Source organism: Homo sapiens, chromosome 11 (assembly GCF_000001405.40).
Source record: "Homo sapiens chromosome 11, GRCh38.p14 Primary Assembly".
Lineage (NCBI taxonomy): Eukaryota > Metazoa > Chordata > Mammalia > Primates > Hominidae > Homo > Homo sapiens.
The window spans coordinates 66,853,212-66,872,807 of NC_000011.10; the positions used below are offsets into that span (position 1 = coordinate 66,853,212).

Genomic DNA, 19,596 nt, shown 5'->3' on the forward strand with positions numbered 1-19,596 from the left:
GCAGGGCAGGGCAGTCTCGGGCCAGACCGAGGTAGTGCAACAGCTTTTGGGCCCGGTTCTGTGCAGGCCGCAGCTGGAACAGCTCTGGGTTCTCGTCGATGAACTGGGTGTCCACAGTGCCTGCCAGGAACTGCTGGTTGTTGAGCACATTCTGCAGGAAGGCGATGTTGGTCTGCAGGACAGAGGCGGGTGGGAGGGGGTCACCATGCAGCACAGACAGGGAAGGCAGAGGAGAAAAGGCTGAAAGAGAAAAGGCTGAAGATGCTGCCCTGGGCCAGCACAGCTTCTGGGCCTCCCTGCAGAGGGGCACTTCCCCGTCCCTCAGCCCTCTCCTCACTCCAGCAGAGCCCCCTAAGCTGTCACGGGCTGGGCCTGCTCCCTCCATACTTGTTTACACCAAAGCATGTGCTGAAGGCCACCCTTCCTGCCTCCCCGCAGCCTAGAACAGGGCTCAGCCTTTTTCTCCAGCAGCGTGGCCCACAGCAGTCACCCTTGCCCCTCGTCCACGCTTCTCGAAAGAGGGCCTTGACCGCAACAGACCACACTCTGGCACTCTAAGTCACTCCTCCCAGCTGAGTCCAGCGGGCATGCTCCCGCCTTGCTGCTCGTTCCCTGGGCTTCCAAGCCATCTTGCTCTCCTGTCCTCTTCCTCCCCAGCTCCTCACACACCACATGCTCCCCAGGAGGCCCCGTCCCGGGGCTGTGGCGCCAGTGACAGGCTCTGCCTCCAGGGCAAGACCCAGAGGTGCAACTGCCTCCCGGGCCTTTCCTTGTTCACCCCTCGCATAAGTTCAGCAAGTCCACGGCCAGCTTCCTGCCTATGCACCCAGTCCTCCTGTGCCCAGTGGGTGCCCCACTGTCCCCCCAGTTACCAAAACCTGCATCCCATCACCCTCATCACCCACTCCTCCCATGCCACTGGTCAAGCCAGAGGATTCGACCACGGCCATTTTGGGACCTTGTGACCTCTTCTCCATCTCCAGGCCACACCCTCCACCGCCTTCCTCATTGTGGCCACCTCCAGCCACATCAAACTTGCCTTGCGCTCCACACCTTTGCACCTGCCTGGGAAGCTCTCCCTGAACTTCTCAAGGGCCTTCGCCCTGTCCTCACACCCTCGGCAGAGCTGACACTCACCTTTCCAGCAGTCCCCTGAGGAACCCGCTGTGGGCAAGCACACCCATCGGCTTCATCCTCTGCTTGTCTGCCTGGGAACCCTTGGGGGCAGGGTGCTGCCTGAGGCATGTGTCAGTGCACTTTGTGCACAGGGGCCCTCGGTTCCACTCATTAAATGCCTGGGTGACAACATGAGGCTGGGCCAGGGTGAGTATGACTTAAACGGGGACATGCGAGCCAGCACTGTGACAGGTGCTCCAAGACCTGTGAAAGCATGGCCTGTGGCTGTGTAGCGACAGCCCTGGCTTCCACCGCGAAGAAAACACCTCCACGCGTCACTTATTCATGATCCCTGTCGGCACCTTCAACAGGGACTCAAGGCCACCCAGACTCCTCTGAGCTCTCCGTCTCTTAGGCTCCTATTACCTGGAGGCCTGGACAGGAAGGGTGCCTCCCCCACCAGCCTGTCAGGTGCTCACCACAGAGTGGGACCCCGCCAGCAGTGCTGTGCCTGTCTGCCCCTGAGCCTCGCCCCTGCCTCTCCTGAAGAGATGCTGACATTTCAGCTGGGCCAAGGCATGGCACTGGAGAAGGGAGGCAGCTAATGAAACCATCCAAAGAGCCCCGAGCGCGCAGAGTGAGAAGGACCCTTGGAGGCCTTCGCCCTGTCCTCACACCCTCGGCAGAGCTGATGCTCACCTTTCCAGCAGGCCGCTGAGGAACCTGCACGGGCAGGGCTGAGCGCAGACCCACACTGTTGCTGGGACCCTTGTGTTCACAGACACACGCTGAAGGTCATAACCGTTCTGCATCACCGAGTCATGTGGAGGGTCCCCACTGAGTCTCCCCTTTGTGACTGTCGGGTTGCCCATCCTCTCCTCCATACTGTAAGCTCTATGGGGGCAGGAACCAGGCCCATCTGGTTCCTGATGAACCCGGCTCCCAGCACTGGGTGGCCATGGTGGATGCTGGTAAACATCTATATTTAGAGTGAATGAAAACTTTTTTTTTGAGACAAAGTGTGTCGCCCAGGCTGGAATTCAGTGGCACAATCTCAGCTCACTGCAACCTGTGGCTCCCTGGTTAATGCGATTCTCGTGCCTCATCCCAACAGACATGCGGTACCACGCCCGGCTAATTTTTGTATTTTTAATAGAGATGGGGTTTCGCCATGTTTGCCAGGCTGGTCTGGAACTCCTGGCCTCAAGTGATCCACCCGCCTCGGCCTCCCAAACTGCTGGGATTACAGGCATGAACCACTGCACCCGGTGGAAAACATTTTTGATGGGGAGAAGAGGAACAAAGACATAGCTGGTGCCACTGCACATCAGAGTTGACCTGCACCAGGACTGAATCCCCCTCATTTTACAAACGCCACAGCTGAGGCCCAGTGAGTGGTGACAGAATGGCTTCTGGCTGCCTGTAAGCCCCTCACAAGCTGCAGCTGTCCTCCCCTCTCGCCCCTAGGAAATGCTTATGTATGTACCATCCAACTCTCCTGGCCTACAGGAGGAACTTGTTTTCAGTGGTCAGGTAACGTGCCCAGGACTACACTGCTGTGCTGACAGGATCAGAATTCCAATCTTGGGTTTCCCCGAGTTTCCTGCCACCTGGCCCATGGGGATCAGGGCTGGAGGGAGAACGAGGATGGCTGAGGTTTAGGTGGCTTAAGGACCAGGAGACACGGGGAGGTGGTGACTTCCTGTTTCCCAACTGGGCAGACCACTGGTGGTGGCGGGCACAGCTGGAAGGAAACCAGGCTCGCCGAGCCACCGAAGCCCCAGCTTTCTCAACCAGGAAGCAAAGAACCTCCCCCACCTCACGCCGGGAGCCCTTTCTCTGAGAGGAGCTGGTTCCGAGCCGCTCTTCCAGGGAAATGGCCCGGCGGCGACAGAGCGGGAGGGAGGGGCCGCAGGCGCTGCGAGGACGCACAGCTTCCCAATGCGTGCCCCCGGCGGTTGGGAAGCCGCGCCGCGCAGACCAATCCGGCCCGAGGCGGAGGCCGGTTGGCTCCGGAACGCCTGGCCCGCGGGGCGGGCGGGGCAGCTGGGGAGGGAGGGAGAGGCGAGAGGCAGCTGGGGACAGGGCGGGGCGGCGGGGGCGGGGCGCCTGCCCGGAGGCCAAGCCCTCTCGGCCCCACCCCGCAGCAGCCCTGCCAGGGGCGCCGCCCCAGCCCCCCCCACGGCCGAACCCCGTGCCGGTTGGGGACCCTCCACGTGACTCGGTGATGCAGAACGGTTATGACCTTCAGCGTGTGTCTGTGAACGCAAGGGTCCCAGCAACAGTGCGGGTTTGCGCTCGGCCCTGCCCGTGGGTGCAGGGACGTGTGGGTGTGTGGGCATGTGTGGGTGTGTTGGGGAGGGTGCCCAGCGACATGTGACAAAGACGCCCGTCTCCGGGAGATGGTGAAGGGGCCCGCGAGCAGGCGCTTTGTCTGGCTGTCTGCAGAGTGAGGTTCGCGCCGCGGCGGCGGGCGCCCGTGCGGTGCAGGATGCCGGGGCGCCAGGATGGCCGGGGGCGCGCGCGCCTGTGCCAGGGTGAGTGCGCTGCGGCAGCGCCGGGGGACAGCGCGGAGGGCCCGCGCCGGCCCGGGCCTCGGGCGTGACTGGGCGCCACCCGTGGGCGCTGCAGCGGCCGCGTGTCCCCGTGACCTCAGGAGCCGGCCCGGGCCCGGGTGGATCCCCGCGCGCCCCTCCCCGTCCGCCCTCCACGTGCGTGTCCGCGGCGCGCGCGCCCGCCGGCGCGCACCCGCTCGCCTGTCGCCGCCGCCACCGCTAACCGCGCCGGGAAAAGGTGCCGGGAACCGAGCGAGCCGGGGCCGCGGGCCCGAGCGCCATGGGCCCGAGGGTGGGCGGCGGGCGGCCGGTCATCCCCGGGCCTCGTCCCCGCGGGAGAGCGGCCAGGAGTCGGCGGGGGCCGGCCGGGCTCGCAGGGAGGCCGGCCCGCGCCCCCTGAGCGACGGACACCAGGTGAGGGGGCCGCCGGGCGCAGCGCGGGGGCCGGCCAGGGAGGGGCCACGGACTCCACGGGAGGTTCGGGGGGCGCCTTCTCTGGCGGGGGAGGGTATGGCGGGGAGTGGGGAGGCGGCTGGCGATTCCTGGGGACGCCTGGGAAAGGAAGTTCCGGGACCCTCCCTGCTCTCGGTCCTCCTCCGCTTCCTGCCTCATGCCTCACCTTGTCCCCAGCGCCTGGACTCCCCCTTAACTGCTTGGGAAATGTGACCTTTGCTCTGGGGGGCCTGGCCCTGCAGGCCCCAACCTTCCCTCATCTCTGGCGGCCCTCTTGGGCCTCTGACCCAGCCCCTCCCCGGGCCAGGCTCACAGAAGCTGGCTTCTGGGACTGTCCTGGGCCCAAGTGGGCACCTGCGCCAGCCCCACCTGTGCCTGGGCTGTGGCCCCTTCCTACAGGGCGCTCACCATGGCCCCGCCGCTCCTGCTGCTGCTGCTGGCCAGTGGAGCGGCCGCCTGCCCGCTGCCCTGCGTCTGCCAGAACCTGTCCGAGTCGCTCAGCACCCTCTGTGCCCACCGAGGCCTGCTGTTTGTGCCGCCCAACGTGGACCGGCGCACAGTGGAGCTGCGGCTGGCTGACAACTTCATCCAGGCCCTGGGGCCCCCTGACTTCCGCAACATGACGGGACTGGTGGACCTGACACTGTCTCGCAATGCCATCACCCGCATTGGGGCCCGCGCCTTTGGGGACCTCGAGAGCCTGCGTTCCCTCCACCTTGACGGCAACAGGCTGGTGGAGCTGGGCACCGGGAGCCTCCGGGGCCCCGTCAATCTGCAGCACCTCATCCTCAGCGGCAACCAGCTGGGCCGCATCGCGCCGGGAGCCTTCGACGACTTCCTAGAGAGCCTGGAGGACCTGGACCTGTCCTACAACAACCTCCGGCAGGTGCCCTGGGCCGGCATCGGCGCCATGCCTGCCCTGCACACCCTCAACCTGGACCATAACCTTATTGACGCACTGCCCCCAGGCGCCTTCGCCCAGCTCGGTCAGCTCTCCCGCCTGGACCTCACCTCCAACCGCCTGGCCACGCTGGCTCCGGACCCGCTTTTCTCTCGTGGGCGTGATGCAGAGGCCTCTCCCGCCCCCCTGGTGCTGAGCTTTAGCGGGAACCCCCTGCACTGCAACTGTGAGCTGCTGTGGCTGCGGCGGCTGGCGCGGCCGGACGACCTGGAAACGTGCGCCTCCCCGCCCGGCCTGGCCGGCCGCTACTTCTGGGCAGTGCCCGAGGGCGAGTTCTCCTGTGAGCCGCCCCTCATTGCCCGCCACACGCAGCGCCTCTGGGTGCTGGAAGGCCAGCGGGCCACGCTGCGGTGCCGGGCCCTGGGTGACCCCGCGCCTACCATGCACTGGGTCGGTCCTGACGACCGGTTGGTTGGCAACTCCTCCCGAGCCCGGGCTTTCCCCAACGGGACCTTAGAGATTGGGGTGACCGGCGCTGGGGACGCTGGGGGCTACACCTGCATCGCCACCAACCCTGCTGGTGAGGCCACAGCCCGAGTAGAACTGCGGGTGCTGGCCTTGCCCCATGGTGGGAACAGCAGTGCCGAGGGGGGCCGCCCCGGGCCCTCGGACATCGCCGCCTCCGCTCGCACTGCTGCCGAGGGTGAGGGGACGCTGGAGTCTGAGCCAGCCGTGCAGGTGACGGAGGTGACCGCCACCTCAGGGCTGGTGAGCTGGGGTCCCGGGCGGCCAGCCGACCCAGTGTGGATGTTCCAAATCCAGTACAACAGCAGCGAAGATGAGACCCTCATCTACCGGTGAGGATGCGTGCCCCACACCCGGCTGCACTCCCGGCGCCCTTCCTCCGCCCTCTGCTCCCCACAAGGCTTTGCTTCCACCCCTCCTCTCTCTGGGGCTGACACCCCCTCCCCGACCATGGCTGCTGGACTCTTGGAGGAGCAGTGGCCTGGCCTGGCCTGGCTGCCTGAGGGGGCTGGAGCTCAAGGGGCGGCAGAAGGACCCCACCCCGAGATGTCCCAGGTGTCACTGAGCTGTGCAGGCCTCCCCGGCAGCAGGTGGCGGTTGGGTCTGTCTGAAGCACATGGCCCGCGCCCGCGTGTTATTTCTGCCTCTGCTGGTGCCATCCCCCCACCCCATTCCCCTCGCTTGCCTGCGTCCTGTGCCAGTGCACACACCCATCTCCTGGCCACACTCTCCAGCCTGTTCACCTTCCTGAGTGAACCCAAGAGCCCGAGTGGCCCCAGGGGGAGGGGTGTTTGGAGCTGGGAGCACGGGAGTGGGGAGGTGAGGATGGGGCTAGACCCCAGCCCCGGGCTCTGACCACCTGCCCTTGCCTGCAGGATTGTCCCAGCCTCCAGCCACCACTTCCTGCTGAAGCACCTCGTCCCCGGCGCTGACTATGACCTCTGCCTGCTGGCCTTGTCACCGGCCGCTGGGCCCTCTGACCTCACGGCCACCAGGCTGCTGGGCTGTGCCCATTTCTCCACGCTGCCGGCCTCGCCCCTGTGCCACGCCCTGCAGGCCCACGTGCTGGGCGGGACCCTGACCGTGGCCGTGGGGGGTGTGCTGGTGGCTGCCTTACTGGTCTTCACTGTGGCCTTGCTGGTTCGGGGCCGGGGGGCCGGAAATGGCCGCCTCCCCCTCAAGCTCAGCCACGTCCAGTCCCAGACCAATGGAGGCCCCAGCCCCACACCCAAGGCCCACCCGCCGCGGAGCCCCCCGCCCCGGCCGCAGCGCAGCTGCTCTCTGGACCTGGGAGATGCCGGGTGCTACGGTTATGCCAGGCGCCTGGGAGGAGCTTGGGCCCGACGGAGCCACTCTGTGCATGGGGGGCTGCTCGGGGCAGGGTGCCGGGGGGTAGGAGGCAGCGCCGAGCGGCTGGAAGAGAGTGTGGTGTGATGGACGGGCAGCTTCCTGTGTGCTCCAAGGGATGAGCCTCGTGGGGCAGAGGGCCCGGGGCCGCCGCCTGGCCTGGGAGTCCCTCCCTGGTTTTTATTCTCAGTACCTCAGGCTCCCCTGTGTACTTGGAGGGGCAGGGAGCCCTTTCCTCGGTTCTGGCCTCCAGACCAGGGTAAGGGCAGGCCCCTCCAACAGGTGCTCACAGCCACCGAGGCAGGGGCTGCAGCCACCCACTGGGAGTCTTGTTTTTATTTATAATAAAATTGTTGGGGACACCTCAGTGCTAGTCTCTGGTGTTGTCTGGCTAGGTCCCCCGAGACGGGAGGACAGGACACGGGCCGCTGGTGGCACACGGACAAGGGTGGGGCTACCAGGGCCGGTGGGGGCAGTCACAGCAGCCTGGGGCCTCCTGGCTTCCTGTCCACAGGGGCGGCCCAGGGCTGCGGCCAAGGGCTGTGCCTGGTGTCTTCTGACCTGCAAGAGCATGGGCTTGGGCAGGCGGCCTACCCTCGCCTGTAAGTGCAAAGAACGCCCCTTCCTGCCAGGTGGCGACAGGACGCCGTATCCAGTGTAAAGCCTGGGGAGCACGTGTGAGCGCCTTCCCCATGGCACTTCAGGGTCTGCGGGGCGGACACAGGACTGGACTAAGCAACAGGAGGAGGTGGGGGACGGTACAGCCCTCTGGGAGAACGGACCTGGGCTGAGCGTACAGTGAAAAGTCCTCATGGCTCCAGGTGCTGACAGCTGTGTCTGCCACCTCCCAGGGCATCTTGTGGACTGGTAAAACGCCATCCCAAAGGGACTGGAAGGGCAGGGAACCCCACTGCTCTGCCATCAGCCCGTGATCCTCTGGAAGGTTCCTGTCAGAACTGTGGGTCCGAGCAGGACCGCAGCTGCCAGCTCAGATGTGCTCTGGGCCTTCCTGGGAAGGCGGCCTTCGCCCTCCCTCGCTGCAGGGAGGCAGCCGGATGGGCACGAGCCCTGCTTTCTCTGCTAGGACCCCTGGCCAGGCCCGGGCAGCCTCCGACCTGGCCCAGCCCCTGCAGCCTCCTGAACTATCTGCTTCTAGGCACTGGCTGGGGGGCATGGGCAGACGTGGCCCTCAGCCCTGCAGAGGGTCAAGCTCCCCCAGGTGCTGTATGAAAACTCAGAAGGCGGCCCTGGCACCCCAGGCCACGGCAAACACGCTGCACAGACTCCCTGGTGTTTTCTGTGTGAGGGCCAAGGCGCTGCCACCGGGCAGCCGAGGTGAGGCAGGTGCTCTAAGGCATACGTGTGTTCACGTGTGCATGGACCTGGCTCACACGCGTGTGCCTGCCCTCCCAGCCCCAGAACATGCAGCTAGAGGTGGGCTTCGAGAGCCTGGTTTAGATGAATGGGAGCAAGGTCCTCGACAGAGAAGGGTGTGGGGAGCGAACGCCATGGAGGAGTGGGCGGGGGCGCGGGACAGGGTGGGTGGGCACAGACGGCAAAGGGACAGGAGGGCCAGGGCTGCCACGCTGGGCGCTAGCATGAGGCTCAGGAGGCGGCTAGAGCCAGCGGCCTGGTCTTGGTGCACATTTGGGGAGGACTTGGCACCCCCAGACACCAGAGACACTTATCCTGCTGCTGGCCCCGTGGTCACGGTCTCTAGTGCCCCTTTCTCCACCTGGGGGGCGGGGGACGGTCTAAAGAGGAAGATCTTTCCGGGCCCTCCAGGGTGCAGAAGCCCACCTCTAGCTGCACCCCTAGCAGGCGCAAGGTTCTAGGGCCCAGGGACCAGCTTGGCACGTGGGGAGCTGCTGAGGGTGAGGAGGGAGCAGAGGAACCGGGCACAACCCCAGGAGCCAGCCAGGACCACAGAGCAACGGGCAGGGGCAGGCGAGGGGGATGGCCTGGGTCACCCCTGTGCATGGCCACGCATCCCCTCAACACCGAAGCAGCCGCAGGACATCCCCGCCAGGACACCAGGAGCCGCAGCAAGGTGCAGGGGGAGCGCGTGATGTCGACAGCTGATGTCGCGACACACCTCTGCCTATGTGCACGACAGGGACCCCCAACAGGGAGGCTGAGAGGCTCCCCACGGAAGAGTAACACCCCCTGGCCTCTAGGAAGTGCGCTGTTCCCTCTTAAGGTGGGAGACAGGCTGGCCACACACACAGGCATAGGCCCAGAAGCCTCCAGGGGCTCTTGCGACCAAGCAGCCATGTGGACATGTGAGAAGTGATTGCAGGACCCTGAGGGGACAGCACGGCCCACATGCCCCCCCATCCCCCAAGCAACTGCGCCTCGATGACAGGCAGGGCTGGAAGAAGCTGCAAGGAGGACACGAGGCCAAGGCAGAGGGGCCGGTGCCAGTGCCCAGCACAGCCCGCCCTGTGGGGACCCCCAAGAAGAAGATGGGGTGGTAACTCCCACAGGGGCTGAGGGCCAAAGCCCCTGTCCTCCGGCTCTTCTTGCCATTCTGAGGGTGGCTCCCACGGGACACGTGCTGGCTTCAAAGGCCGAGGCGGCATTTCCTGGCTGTGGATTCCTCTCTAGCTACAGACGCCAGTAACAGAGCCCAGCAAAGGGCTCTTTAGATCCTAAATACCCATTTAGAGTCCTCATGCCAGGCAGGGCACCCACCAAGGCCACCCAAAGACAAGCCGAGCTGCCAGCCCACCAAGGGCAGGTTGCCTCCCAAGCCTCCTGCTCATGTCTCTGCTGCGCCCCCACCCTCGGCTGCTCCTGAAGCACCTGACACTGTGTGCACCAGGCCAGGTGAGGAGAGCAGGGGGCTGGCGGGGGCCTGACACTGTGCAAAGTGACCGCATCTACATGACTTGGGCTCTTGCCTGGTGGGGGGGGATCCACATTTTCCAGAAATTAAGAATTATCTGGGAGGCCAGGCACGGTGGCTCACACCTGTAATCTCAGCATTTTGGGAGGTCAAGGCGGGTGGAACACCTGAGGTCAGGAGTTTGAGACCAGCCTGGCCAATGTGATAAAACCCCGTCTACTAAAAATACAAAAATTAGCCGGGCGTGGTGGGGGGCACCTGTAGTCCCAGCTACTCGGGAGGCTGAGGCAGGAGAATCGCTTGAACCCAGGAGGCAGAGCTTGCAGTGAGCCGAGATCGCGCCACTGCACTCCAGCCTGGGCGACAGCAAGATTCCACTTCAAAAATAAAAAAGAATTATCTGGAGAACTTGTTCAAAACACAGGTTCTGGCGCCTCTACCCAAACCTGTGGGATCAGGATTTCCAGAAGGGAAGCCTGATGATATTTAACACACATTCCAGGTGATTCTCACCCCAGAGGGGCGGGACACAGCGTGGGTCTCCCCGGAACAAGACTAGACAGGAGGCATGTGAGGACGAGCTCCGGCCAGGCCACTGCCAGGGACTCTGGCAGCGGGTTGCCCAGGCGCCTGCAGACTCTGAAAACAGCTGGAGTCTGGCGTGCAGCTGCAGCCAAGGAGAGCCACTGACCTCGACCCATCAGTCAGGGGCAAGGCTGAGGTGAAGCCATGTGCAAGGCCCTTGGTGGGGAAGTGAACGGTCAGGGGGCCCTCCAAGGGCCGGGAGCAAAGGCAGGCGGGGGCTGCAGCCTCTCACCTTCACACCTCGGACGCGGAACTCCGCAAGGGCCCTGCTCATCTTGGTGGCGGCCGTGGGGTGGTCTTTGCCGTGGGCAATGACTTTGACCAGCAGGGAGTCGTAGTGGGGCGAGATGACGGCTCCTTGGAAGGCGGAAGCATTATCCAGGCGGATGCCCATGCCCTCTCCGCTCCGGAACACCTGTGGGAAGGGTGAGGCGTGAGGACCTGCGCCAGAAACTGCGGTCAAAAGTGCCCCACCCACCCCGAGGCTGGCCAGGTGTGCACCCAGCAGCTGCTGAGAGCAGAGCGTGGGGTGTCTGCAGGTGAATCCCAGCTCTGGCTGGTCAGGTTTTGCTGTTTCTGCCACCAAACCCAGGAGTGCGTCCCTTCTCTACGTGCCACGCAGTCACTGCTACTGGCTCCCTGTGAGGAGCTGGGAGGGGGCAGAGGAGGAAGGGAATGCCTGCCGCAGAGCGGGAGAGGGGCCCGGGCAGGCAGGGGCCAGCCCTGCCTCTATTCCCACGGACCTGCTGCACCTGCCTGAGCAACCCTCTAGCCTTTCAGACTCATCCACGTTCGTTCCACAGCACGGATTGAGGTCTGCTGACCCGGCCGCTAAAGGGCCTCGCCGTGGGCTCCCAGACAGCGAGGGGACGGCAGGCCGGCGACAGGGCCTCCAAAGGACCATGTGCGAGGCAAGAGGCAAGGCTGACCGGGGGTTTGTTTTTGTTTTTAACAGGGTGGTGGGGAAGGCCTCAACATCCACCCATGCTCCCTTCCTTTCCTTTCCTTTCCTTCCAGAAGGGAGGATGGGAGGGAGAGGAGGCAACGAGGAGGAAGTGGGAGAGGAAATGAAGGGAAAGTGCCAGAGGCAGGGTCCACACCCATCAGGGAAGCAAACCAAGGGCGAGGAGAGGGCAGCGGGGCAGCGGGACAGGGCCAGGGCCAGACGGCAATGGGAGGGGCAGCGGAGAGGAGGAGACAGAGGCGCCGACACTCACACACACAGGTGGCTCGTGCCGCCTGCACCTGTTCGTGCCGCCCGAGTGAGCCCCGCAGAGAAGGGCTCCCCGGAGGTGGGGGACCCGTCAGGCCCAGGTAAGGAAGAAGGGGAGTGGGGGGACCGCCCAGAGGGGCTCGGGACACCCACTGCCCATTTCCGCTTCTCGGGGGCAGAGGCCTGTGTTCAATAAAAAGGAACTTCATAAAATATTTAAGGGTGAACACTCAGCTGAGAGCAGAAACTGTCGGCTAAAAATACTCTGTGATGAGGCAGGCTCTGAAGAGCCAGGGCTTGGAAGTGGGGATGGAGGGAGGCAGAGAAGTCAGGGGCCGCCGGGCAGCACTCAGCCTGGGGCTGCCGCCACCTACAGACTCTTCCAGAAACAGAAGGCAGGTGGCCAGCTCCCTGCTGAAGCCACAGGCTCTGCTGCTTCCAGAATCCAGAGAGCTCTGGTCCCTACCCCCAGCCTCCCCAGCCTCCCTTGTCTCAGAAGCCCAGAGCCTGGCCCAAACTCATGTTTGCTCCCCTCACCGCCCCACACAAGCCCGGGGGCCTCTGCCTTGGACTCTGGAGCAAAGCTGGAGCTCCATCAATGTCTTGCCTCCTTTGGGGCTCAGGCCCCTGGATAGGGAGCAAGTCCCTAGCACAGCTGGCACGGTGCTGGCAGCACGTGCAGGGCTGGGAACAGGCACCGAGCAGGCCGCAGGGCTCCTGCCCACAGCTGGGACCAGAGGCGGGGGAGATGGGTTTCGGAGGCCAATGACTGGGTCCCGGTGCTGAGAGGAAGAAAGGTACAGGGAGCCCTCCTGGAGAAGGCGCGAGTCTTGCTGTGCTGAGGAGCCTGCCGTGGACCGCCTCAGCGCCCCCTACACCACTCTCTCCCCCACCAAGGCTGCCATCTCGCGGCCCCGAATCTACCTCTCGGTCTCCCTCCTGTGCCGCCATCTCCGACTCCCTCCCCCATCCTTGATGGGCCCCTGAGCTTGGCTCAGACTCCATTGGGACCTCTGGGCCCAGTCCTTTGCCACCCCCACCCCCAGGTCCTGCCATGTCAGCCCATCCCTCAGATGGGAGGTGGTGCTTGGGCTCCGTCGGCAGCCAGGCGTGGGGCTCCTGTGGGAGCTGGAGGGTCAGGGGCTGGCTTTGTGTCTGGGTCCCTGCGTTTTGCTCCACCAAGCCAGCCTGCTCCCCGCTCCCACCCTCACGGCTTCCTCCTGACCTGGGCGCCCAGCAGTCTCTTCCCCTGGGAGGCGCCGCCCCTCCTCTGGGCACTGCCTGCCTCCGTGTACTCTATGTCCACTTCAGAGCCCACATGCGGGTCCTCCCTAACTGCCGGGCTGTGGCAACTTGGCACTGCAGCCCCAGGCACCAGGCAGAACCTGTGCACAGGTGAGCTGGCATCTCCCTCTGCTCGAGCTCCGCCCACCTCAATGCGGCCGGTGTCCGGCTGGAAGCTGCGCGCGGGGTCCTCGGTGGTGACCCGGCACTGGATGGCACACCCGTTGATGCGGATGTTCTCCTGCCGCAGGCCCAGGTCGGGTAGGCTCCTGCCCTCAGCCACGTGGATCTGAGCATGGACCAGGTCTACGCTGTAGGGCATTGGGGGGAGGGGGGAAAGGACGGGAGAAAGGGGGAAACATGAGGCGGGGGATAGACGAGGGGCACCGCAGCCAGTGGGGCGTCCACACACAGTGCGACTCCTGCCCATAGGCTCTGGGCCAGCCTGAACAGCCGGTTCCTCCCAACCAGTGGCTCCACCAGCCCCTGCCCTGCTCCCGCCGGGAGCCGACTAAACTACACAGTGCCTGGCAGCTGGAGATGGCCCGCTGAAATACCAGGACCACCTGCTCCTGCATTCCTGACTCACGGTGCCGTCCACACAGCCCTAAGCTGCTCCTCCCTGTACTCTGCCTCCTCCTTCCTTGAGGTCTGTTTTCCCCACTCCCCTAAACTCCCCCTTGGTAAAGCCTAGATTTGAAGCCTCAGCAGATCTCTAGGTCAGAGGGCCAGGATAGCACATTCTTGGGGCCATATGTGCTATGCTGTGTGGGTGGTTGTGAGGGGGGCAGTGTGCAAGGGAACAGGTGCTGTGAAGGCTGGGCTCCTCGAAATGGTAACCACAGCTGTGAGAGGGTTGCACAGTGGGTGCTGGGTCAGGACCTGTCCTTCTGAGGCCTGTTTTCCTGCTGGACTTGTGCCCAAAACCCCCTAGAGATGCTTGGAGAGTGCAAGCTTCCCCACCTCTGCAGGGTTTTCCAAGCTCAGCCTTACTGCTCCTAAGGGCAGTCACAAGTCCAAGTGGAACAGCTGTTTAAAAAACAAAACAAACAAACAAAAAAACCAGGCTGGGCACAGCAGGTCATGCCTGTAATCCCAGCACTTTGGGAGGCCAAAGTGGGTGAATCCCACGAGGCCAGGAGTTCGAGACTAGCCTGGCCAACATGGTGAAACCCTGTCTCTACTAAAAATACAAAAATTAGCCAGGCCTGGTAGTGTGTGCCTGTAATCCCAGCTACTCAGGAGGCTGAGGCAGGAGAATCACTTGAACCCGGGAGGCAGAAGTTGCAGTGAGCAAAGATTGCACCACTGCACTCCAGCCTGGGTGACAGAGCAAGACTATGTCTTAAAAAAAACCACTCAAGGTTTTACATGTATTGCCACTGAGGCTTGTGGTGAAGGCAGCCTGGAACCTACACTGGCAGGATTTCCCCGTGTTCTTGCTGCCTGCTGGCCCACTTCGCAGCAGAGATGACAGCTTCCACTCAGTGCCACAGGCCAGGCTGCACTCCTCCCATGCTTCATCTCCACGACGGTGTGCTGAGAGCCCTGTCATTCCCACCAGAGGAGGAGCTCGAGGGTCAGAGAGGTTGGAGCTCACCCAGGCTCCACGTGGCTTGGGACCTGAGAGCACCTGAGCCCCAATCTGTCTGACACAAAACCCGTGCTCCACAGCAGACAGACTCCCATCCCTAACAGGACGCTCTAAGCAGACCCAAGACCGAGGAGTTCACAGCAGCTTGAGGGGAAGAGTCTCACTCGGCCAAAGTGTTGGCCTTGTCTCTAAGCTTCTCCTAAGGGGAGGGAGGGGCCTCCATGCCCCCGGCGAGCCACAGCAGCCACCCCGACAGCATCCTCAGTCTCAGGTGGGGTTGGGGCTGGGGGCAGAACTGGGGTCAGGGATGCTCCACAGTGAGATGGGCTGGCCCAAAGCAGCGTCAAGAAATTACATGGCTCATAGTAGAGACCTTGAAGGGTGAGGGCCATCATGACTGTCATTTAGAAACCAGGCGGATTTTGAAAATGTCATCCTCAGTGCCTGCAGGGAGCACGCTAGTGCCACCTCTCTAGAGGGCTGTTCCGAGGGATGCTACTTATCCTTCAATCAGATAATCCTGTTGAAGGGTTTACCCTCAGAACTCTTCAGAGCTGAAGCCAAACATTCAGGCACACAGATGATAAGTGACACGCTTAATAACCACCAAAGCCAGACACACAAACTAATTGCCTAACAATCGAGGACTATGTAAGTTAAGAAATACACACAAGACGGAATAGTACGCAGCCACTAAAAGTATTCAGACAGAATTATGGCCTGGGGAAATGCCTTCAACAAATATTAAATAATTTGAAAAGTAGAATAAAAATTCTATATAAAACATCTCTATTGCATCAAACTATGTCTCTAGTAAAACAGGTAAACCGGGAAAGGAGCAAACCAAAGACAGCCGGAGATGCCTGGGTTCCAGCGCCAGCTGTGTGACCCCGAGCAACTCTCCAAATGTCTCTGAGCCTTGCTTTACTCCTCTGACAGATGGGAGCACCTGGGCCTGAGCAATCGGCAGCGTCCTGACAGAGAGGAGGGCTGTCAGTCATTTTTATTTGCTCCTTTGTGCTGATTTTTATAATAACCACGTAATGCTTTTAGAATAATGACTTTTAAAACACTAAGTACCTGGATCCCCATTGCTCTCCACCAATGTGGGGAGTGAGCAAGCCCCCTGGCTGGCCCCAGGAGCCACTTCGCCTGTACTTTATGCAAATCCTAGAAGCCGCGCCTCCCGCCCCGCCTGCCCGCCCACACTCACTCGGTGATCTCCTCTGTGACCGTGTGCTCCACCTGCAGGCGGGAGTTGACCTCGATGAAGTAGTGCTTGCCGTGCCTGTCCACCAGGAACTCCACGGTGCCTGCGTTCTCGTAGCCCACCTGTGGGGGCGGCCACGTGAGCAGGGGAGGGCACAGGCAGGGCCTGGGCAAACTCACTGGACTCAGGACAGGGATTCCGTCCCACCCATTGGGTTGGTTCCGTAAAAGAATGGCCTGTGGCAAACCCTGCCCCCACAGATGGCAGACAGACCCCAGGGCCCAGGTCATGCTCCTGCCTGGACACGTCCCCCAAGTAGTCCACTAGGCTCCAGGGTTCCCGGAGCCACAGATGGCTGCACCCAGCTTATCTGGGACGAGACATGGGCAGAAGCCCCCACCCATCCCAGGCTCGGCACCTTGCCCTGCTGCCTCCTGGGCTTGCCCGCCAAGGCTGTGTCATCCACCCAGACACGGAGACCCAGGCCTCTCCCAGCCGCTGCTTCTGCTTGGAGGTGTTTTCAGAAAGTCCCCTTCTAGTCTACTGCGCAGTCACCTCTGGCCACCACCACCCAAAGAAATTCATTTGAGAGGTACCAACAGATAATGACTCTAACTCAAATTTCAGCCCTAATTCCAGTTTCACTTTTGGTCTCACCAAAACGATAAACCAGACTGAATCACCTCCCTTAAACCTGTTCTGGAATGTGAAATAGTATAAGCCAGTAAATAAGACCTGACTTAAACGCGACCCTGGTCGATGCCTCGCATTAGCTGTGGCTGAGGCCTTGCTGCAGAGTGCACACCCCGGCCTTCGGCATGGGGAGGTGACGCATCCTCTGCTGCCTATAGGCCAGGGAAGAAGAGGGGGCAGGACCCCGCTGCACACCTGGCCACAGCAGGTGCTCTCCAGGCCAGTCCTGGGGCAGGTCACTGTGGGGAGATAGCTTGCCACCTCAGCCTCCTCCACAGCCCAGGACCCCCCGACCAGAGGTCCCAGAAAAGCAGAGATGGGCAGAGGGTGCAGAGCAAGGAAACAGATCATAATAAACATGATGTAGGAGACAGAAGCACATGAGGGAGGACTGCCTTCATAATGGTCCTCAATCTTGACAGAATCCACGGAATCTCATTCTCCTGATGACAGGGATGAGCTGATGCCACAGAGAAGCCAGGTCTGTGTAGCAGCAGGGCTGAGGAGGCGGCTGGGGCTCCTTCCCTCCCTCTTCTCAGCCATCCTGGACTCTAAGCTTGGCCTCTGGGCCAGGTGCCTCAACTGCACATGGGAAGGATGCCACAAACCCACTTCTGGCCCCCAGGAGAGTCCTTCACCCTCTTCTCCCCATCCCCAGTCCCCAGAAGGGGACTCAGGGTCCCCTTCCCCAACCAGCGCCCCACTGTGAGGCCTGCCGGCCTGTGAGCACAGGCTCCTGTCCCAACACGGGAAGCCCACCCTTCACCTGTTTAGCGAGTTTCACAGAGTCGCTGGTGAGCCGAGTCCGAAGCTGCGGGTCCAGGTGGGCGGCGGGGGCAATCTCGACCACCTTCTGGTGCCGCCGCTGGATGGAGCAGTCTCGCTCGTACAGGTGCAGGATGTTCCCATACTGGTCCCCTGGGGAGGGAGGTAAACTGGGCTTAGCTTTTACTGGAATCTACACGCCTCCTAAATGCCCCATCACCCCCACATAACCACTGTCGCCAGTCAGTGCCGGCTGCCAGCGGTACAGAGGCTGCCAGGAGAGACACCAGCATCACCAAGGCTGTGAGGACCAACTGCCAGCTCGGCCCCTAGAGCCCACTTTCCAGAGTCCTCTGGAAAAGCGCCCGACAGGCCCCAGGGCTGTCCCCAAGGCCAGCCACTGTGACGGCACCAGGACTGGGCCTCTCAGCTCCCGCCTCCAGCTGCCCCAGGCGGGGCGTCAGGACCACTCACCCAAGATCTGCACCTCGATGTGCCGTGGCTTCTCGATGAACTTCTCCACAAACAGCGCCCCATTCCCAAAGGCGGCCAGAGCCTCTGAGTAGGCCCGGGTGTAATTCTCCTCCAGCTCCTGCGAGGGCGGGCAGGGGCCAGCCAGACCTCAGACCCCACAGCGCTACCTCTCCCCTGCCATGAACCCCACCCACTTTCCAGATCCCTTGAGTGGTCCGCCCCTGCCCCCACGGCAGGCTGCCCTGCCCTGCTCCCAGCCCTGGGCATCTTCACTCACCTCGTAGCTGTGCACCACCCTCATGCCACGCCCTCCACCCCCATAGGCCGCCTTGAAGATGATGGGGAAGCCGTAGGTGTTGGAGAACTCGTGGGCCTCATGCAGGGACGTGATGGGGGCATCTGTGCCAGGGACAACGGGAACACCTGTTGGGAGAAAGGTGTGGGGGAGTCTCTGTAACAGGCGGGAATCCCTGCCACCCCTCCCTGCTGGACCCTCTCCAGGAGCTGCGGGGCCACCCCTTGCTTGCCCGTTATATTCACCCGCAGCAATGGCGATGGCCCGGGCCTCCACCTTGTCTCCCATCTTGCGGACCACTTCTGGGCTTGGCCCAATAAACCGGACCCCTGCATCCTGGCAGGCCTGGGCGAAGTCCGCTCGCTCAGAGAGGAACCCGTAGCCAGGGTGCACTGCATCTACGTTGTTCTCCTGCAGGTGGGGGTCAGGGAGAGGACGGTACCTTGCAGTCCCTTCCAAGGCCTCGGCCAGCCTCTTCCCCTGCCTAACCTGCTGAGCTGCATCCGTTTACCCACCCACGCACAGAGGCGCTGAGCACGCCAGCCTCAAGAGACCCCCGCGGCAACTAAGACTCCCTGGTCCCTGCTGTCCAGGCCCAGCCAGGCCACTGGGCTCACCTTGGCCACCTTGATGATGTCTGGGATGTGCAGGTAGGCCTGCACGGGGGCCAGGCCGCGGCCGATGAGATAGGCTTCATCTGCTTTCTGCCGGTGCATCTGGCCCGTGTCCTGCTCAGAGTAGATGGCTACGGTGCGGATGCCCAGCTCCGTGCAGGCCCGGAACACACGGATGGCAATCTCACCTAGAGGGCAAAGAAACAAGAAGTTAGATTCCTAGGTCCTAGGAGAAGCAGAAAGGGGAGTGGGAAGCCAGGGCCTGGGGCAGTGAGTGGGAGAAGAATGCCAAGGCTGGGGCGGCCATGAGGCTCCTCTCACCGGCCCCACTGGTGCTCACCTCTGTTGGCCACCATGACTTTCTTGATGGGCTTATACTCCAGGCGCCGGACATTTGGGGAGGCAGCGGGGGCGGTGGAGGTTCGGCGGATTCCCAGGAGCCTCAGGCCCCCATGGACTGTTCGGAACTTCAGCATCTAGGGAGGGAAGTTAGAGCCCAGGTTAGCGCAGCCTCAGCACTGAGGCTCCTCAGAATGAGTGAGGGCCCTTCCCAACCCCACAGTGGCCCCACAGAAAGGCTAGCACCATCTACCTCCTGATGCCTGGCCAAGCCCAACATTTCCTGGCTCTAGAGAAGGGAGCAAATCCAACCCCAAATGGAACCCCCAGCTCAGCCTGATATCCTAACTGTGACTTTATTGTTGTAGAGACAGGGTCTCCCTATGTTGCCTAGGCTGGTCGCAAATGATCCTCCCACCTCAGCCTCCTGAGTAGTTAAGACTACAGGTGTGAGCTGCCGTACCCAGCATAATATGCACTATAACTTTTAAAAGTATCAGGTTGGCCCACCCTGGCTAACACGGTGAAACCCCGTCTCTACTAAAAATACAAAAAAAAAAAAATTAGCCGGGCGTGGTGGCGGGCATCTGTAGTCCCAGCTACTTGGGAGGCTGAGGCAGGAGAATGGCATGAACCCAGGAGGCAGAGCTTGCAGCGAGCCGAGATCGTGCCACTGTACTCCAGCCTGGGCGACAGGGCAAGACTCCGTCTCAAAAAAAATAAAAGTATCAGGTTGGGCGCGGTGGCTCATGCCTGTAATCCCAGCACTTTGGGAGGCTGAAGTG

General features: G+C 62.4%; 2 protein-coding genes across 17 annotated transcripts in view, besides 3 other annotated features; one reads left to right on the forward strand and one right to left on the reverse strand.

Moving 5' to 3' along the window:
* PC (pyruvate carboxylase) overlaps window positions 1-19,596 on the reverse strand; it is a 109,964-nt gene that overhangs the window by 4,792 nt on the left and 85,576 nt on the right. For 12 of the 15 annotated variants that reach the window (NM_001439353.1, NM_000920.4, NM_001040716.2 and 9 more), the window contains 10 exons: window positions 18,813-18,948; window positions 18,476-18,660; window positions 18,104-18,269; window positions 17,841-17,986; window positions 17,564-17,681; window positions 17,091-17,242; window positions 15,635-15,753; window positions 12,976-13,138; window positions 10,563-10,745; window positions 28-172 (listed from right to left, as the gene is read on the reverse strand). In NM_001439353.1, coding sequence (NP_001426282.1) covers window positions 28-172; window positions 10,563-10,745; window positions 12,976-13,138; window positions 15,635-15,753; window positions 17,091-17,242; window positions 17,564-17,681; window positions 17,841-17,986; window positions 18,104-18,269; window positions 18,476-18,660; window positions 18,813-18,948 — 1,513 coding nt within the window. Of the gene's footprint in view, window positions 1-27; window positions 173-1,815; window positions 1,923-2,602; window positions 2,747-2,934; window positions 3,077-10,562; window positions 10,746-12,975; window positions 13,139-15,634; window positions 15,754-17,090; window positions 17,243-17,563; window positions 17,682-17,840; window positions 17,987-18,103; window positions 18,270-18,475; window positions 18,661-18,812; window positions 18,949-19,596 lie in introns of those variants that run through there. The other 3 variants (XM_011545087.3, XM_047427058.1, XM_006718579.4) reach the window with 3 other exon arrangements.
* Window positions 2,939-3,468: a silencer, noted in NCBI's record as "silent region_3605". NCBI's record gives its function as "represses an Ori minimal core promoter by ATAC-STARR-seq in GM12878 lymphoblastoid cells {active_cell/tissue: GM12878}" and the evidence as "EXISTENCE:reporter gene assay evidence [ECO:0000049][PMID:35858748]".
* Window positions 3,629-3,738: a silencer, noted in NCBI's record as "silent region_3606". NCBI's record gives its function as "represses an Ori minimal core promoter by ATAC-STARR-seq in GM12878 lymphoblastoid cells {active_cell/tissue: GM12878}" and the evidence as "EXISTENCE:reporter gene assay evidence [ECO:0000049][PMID:35858748]".
* Window positions 3,853-7,264, forward strand: LRFN4 (leucine rich repeat and fibronectin type III domain containing 4). Of its 2 annotated transcripts, NM_001363524.2 has the most exons (3): window positions 3,853-4,085; window positions 4,524-5,882; window positions 6,426-7,264. In NM_001363524.2, exons 2-3 carry the CDS (start codon window positions 4,534-4,536, stop codon window positions 6,982-6,984), a joined length of 1,908 nt encoding a protein of 635 aa, NP_001350453.1. In that variant the 5' UTR covers window positions 3,853-4,085; window positions 4,524-4,533; the 3' UTR covers window positions 6,985-7,264. The 2 variants fall into 2 exon arrangements, with proteins under 2 accessions (NP_001350453.1, NP_076941.2); NM_024036.5 differs by having other exon boundaries at window positions 3,853-5,882.
* Window positions 15,561-15,670: an enhancer, noted in NCBI's record as "active region_5058". NCBI's record gives its function as "activates an Ori minimal core promoter by ATAC-STARR-seq in GM12878 lymphoblastoid cells {active_cell/tissue: GM12878}" and the evidence as "EXISTENCE:reporter gene assay evidence [ECO:0000049][PMID:35858748]".

Excerpts from the sequence above, each read along its gene's own strand:
- LRFN4 (NM_024036.5), top strand. The coding sequence starts at position 4,534 with ATGGCCCCGCCGCTCCTGCTGCTGCTGCTGGCCAGTGGAGCGGCCGCC. Across the intron at positions 5,883-6,425 it reads GATGAGACCCTCATCTACCG|GATTGTCCCAGCCTCCAGCC; the intron begins GTGAGGATGCGT and ends CCTTGCCTGCAG.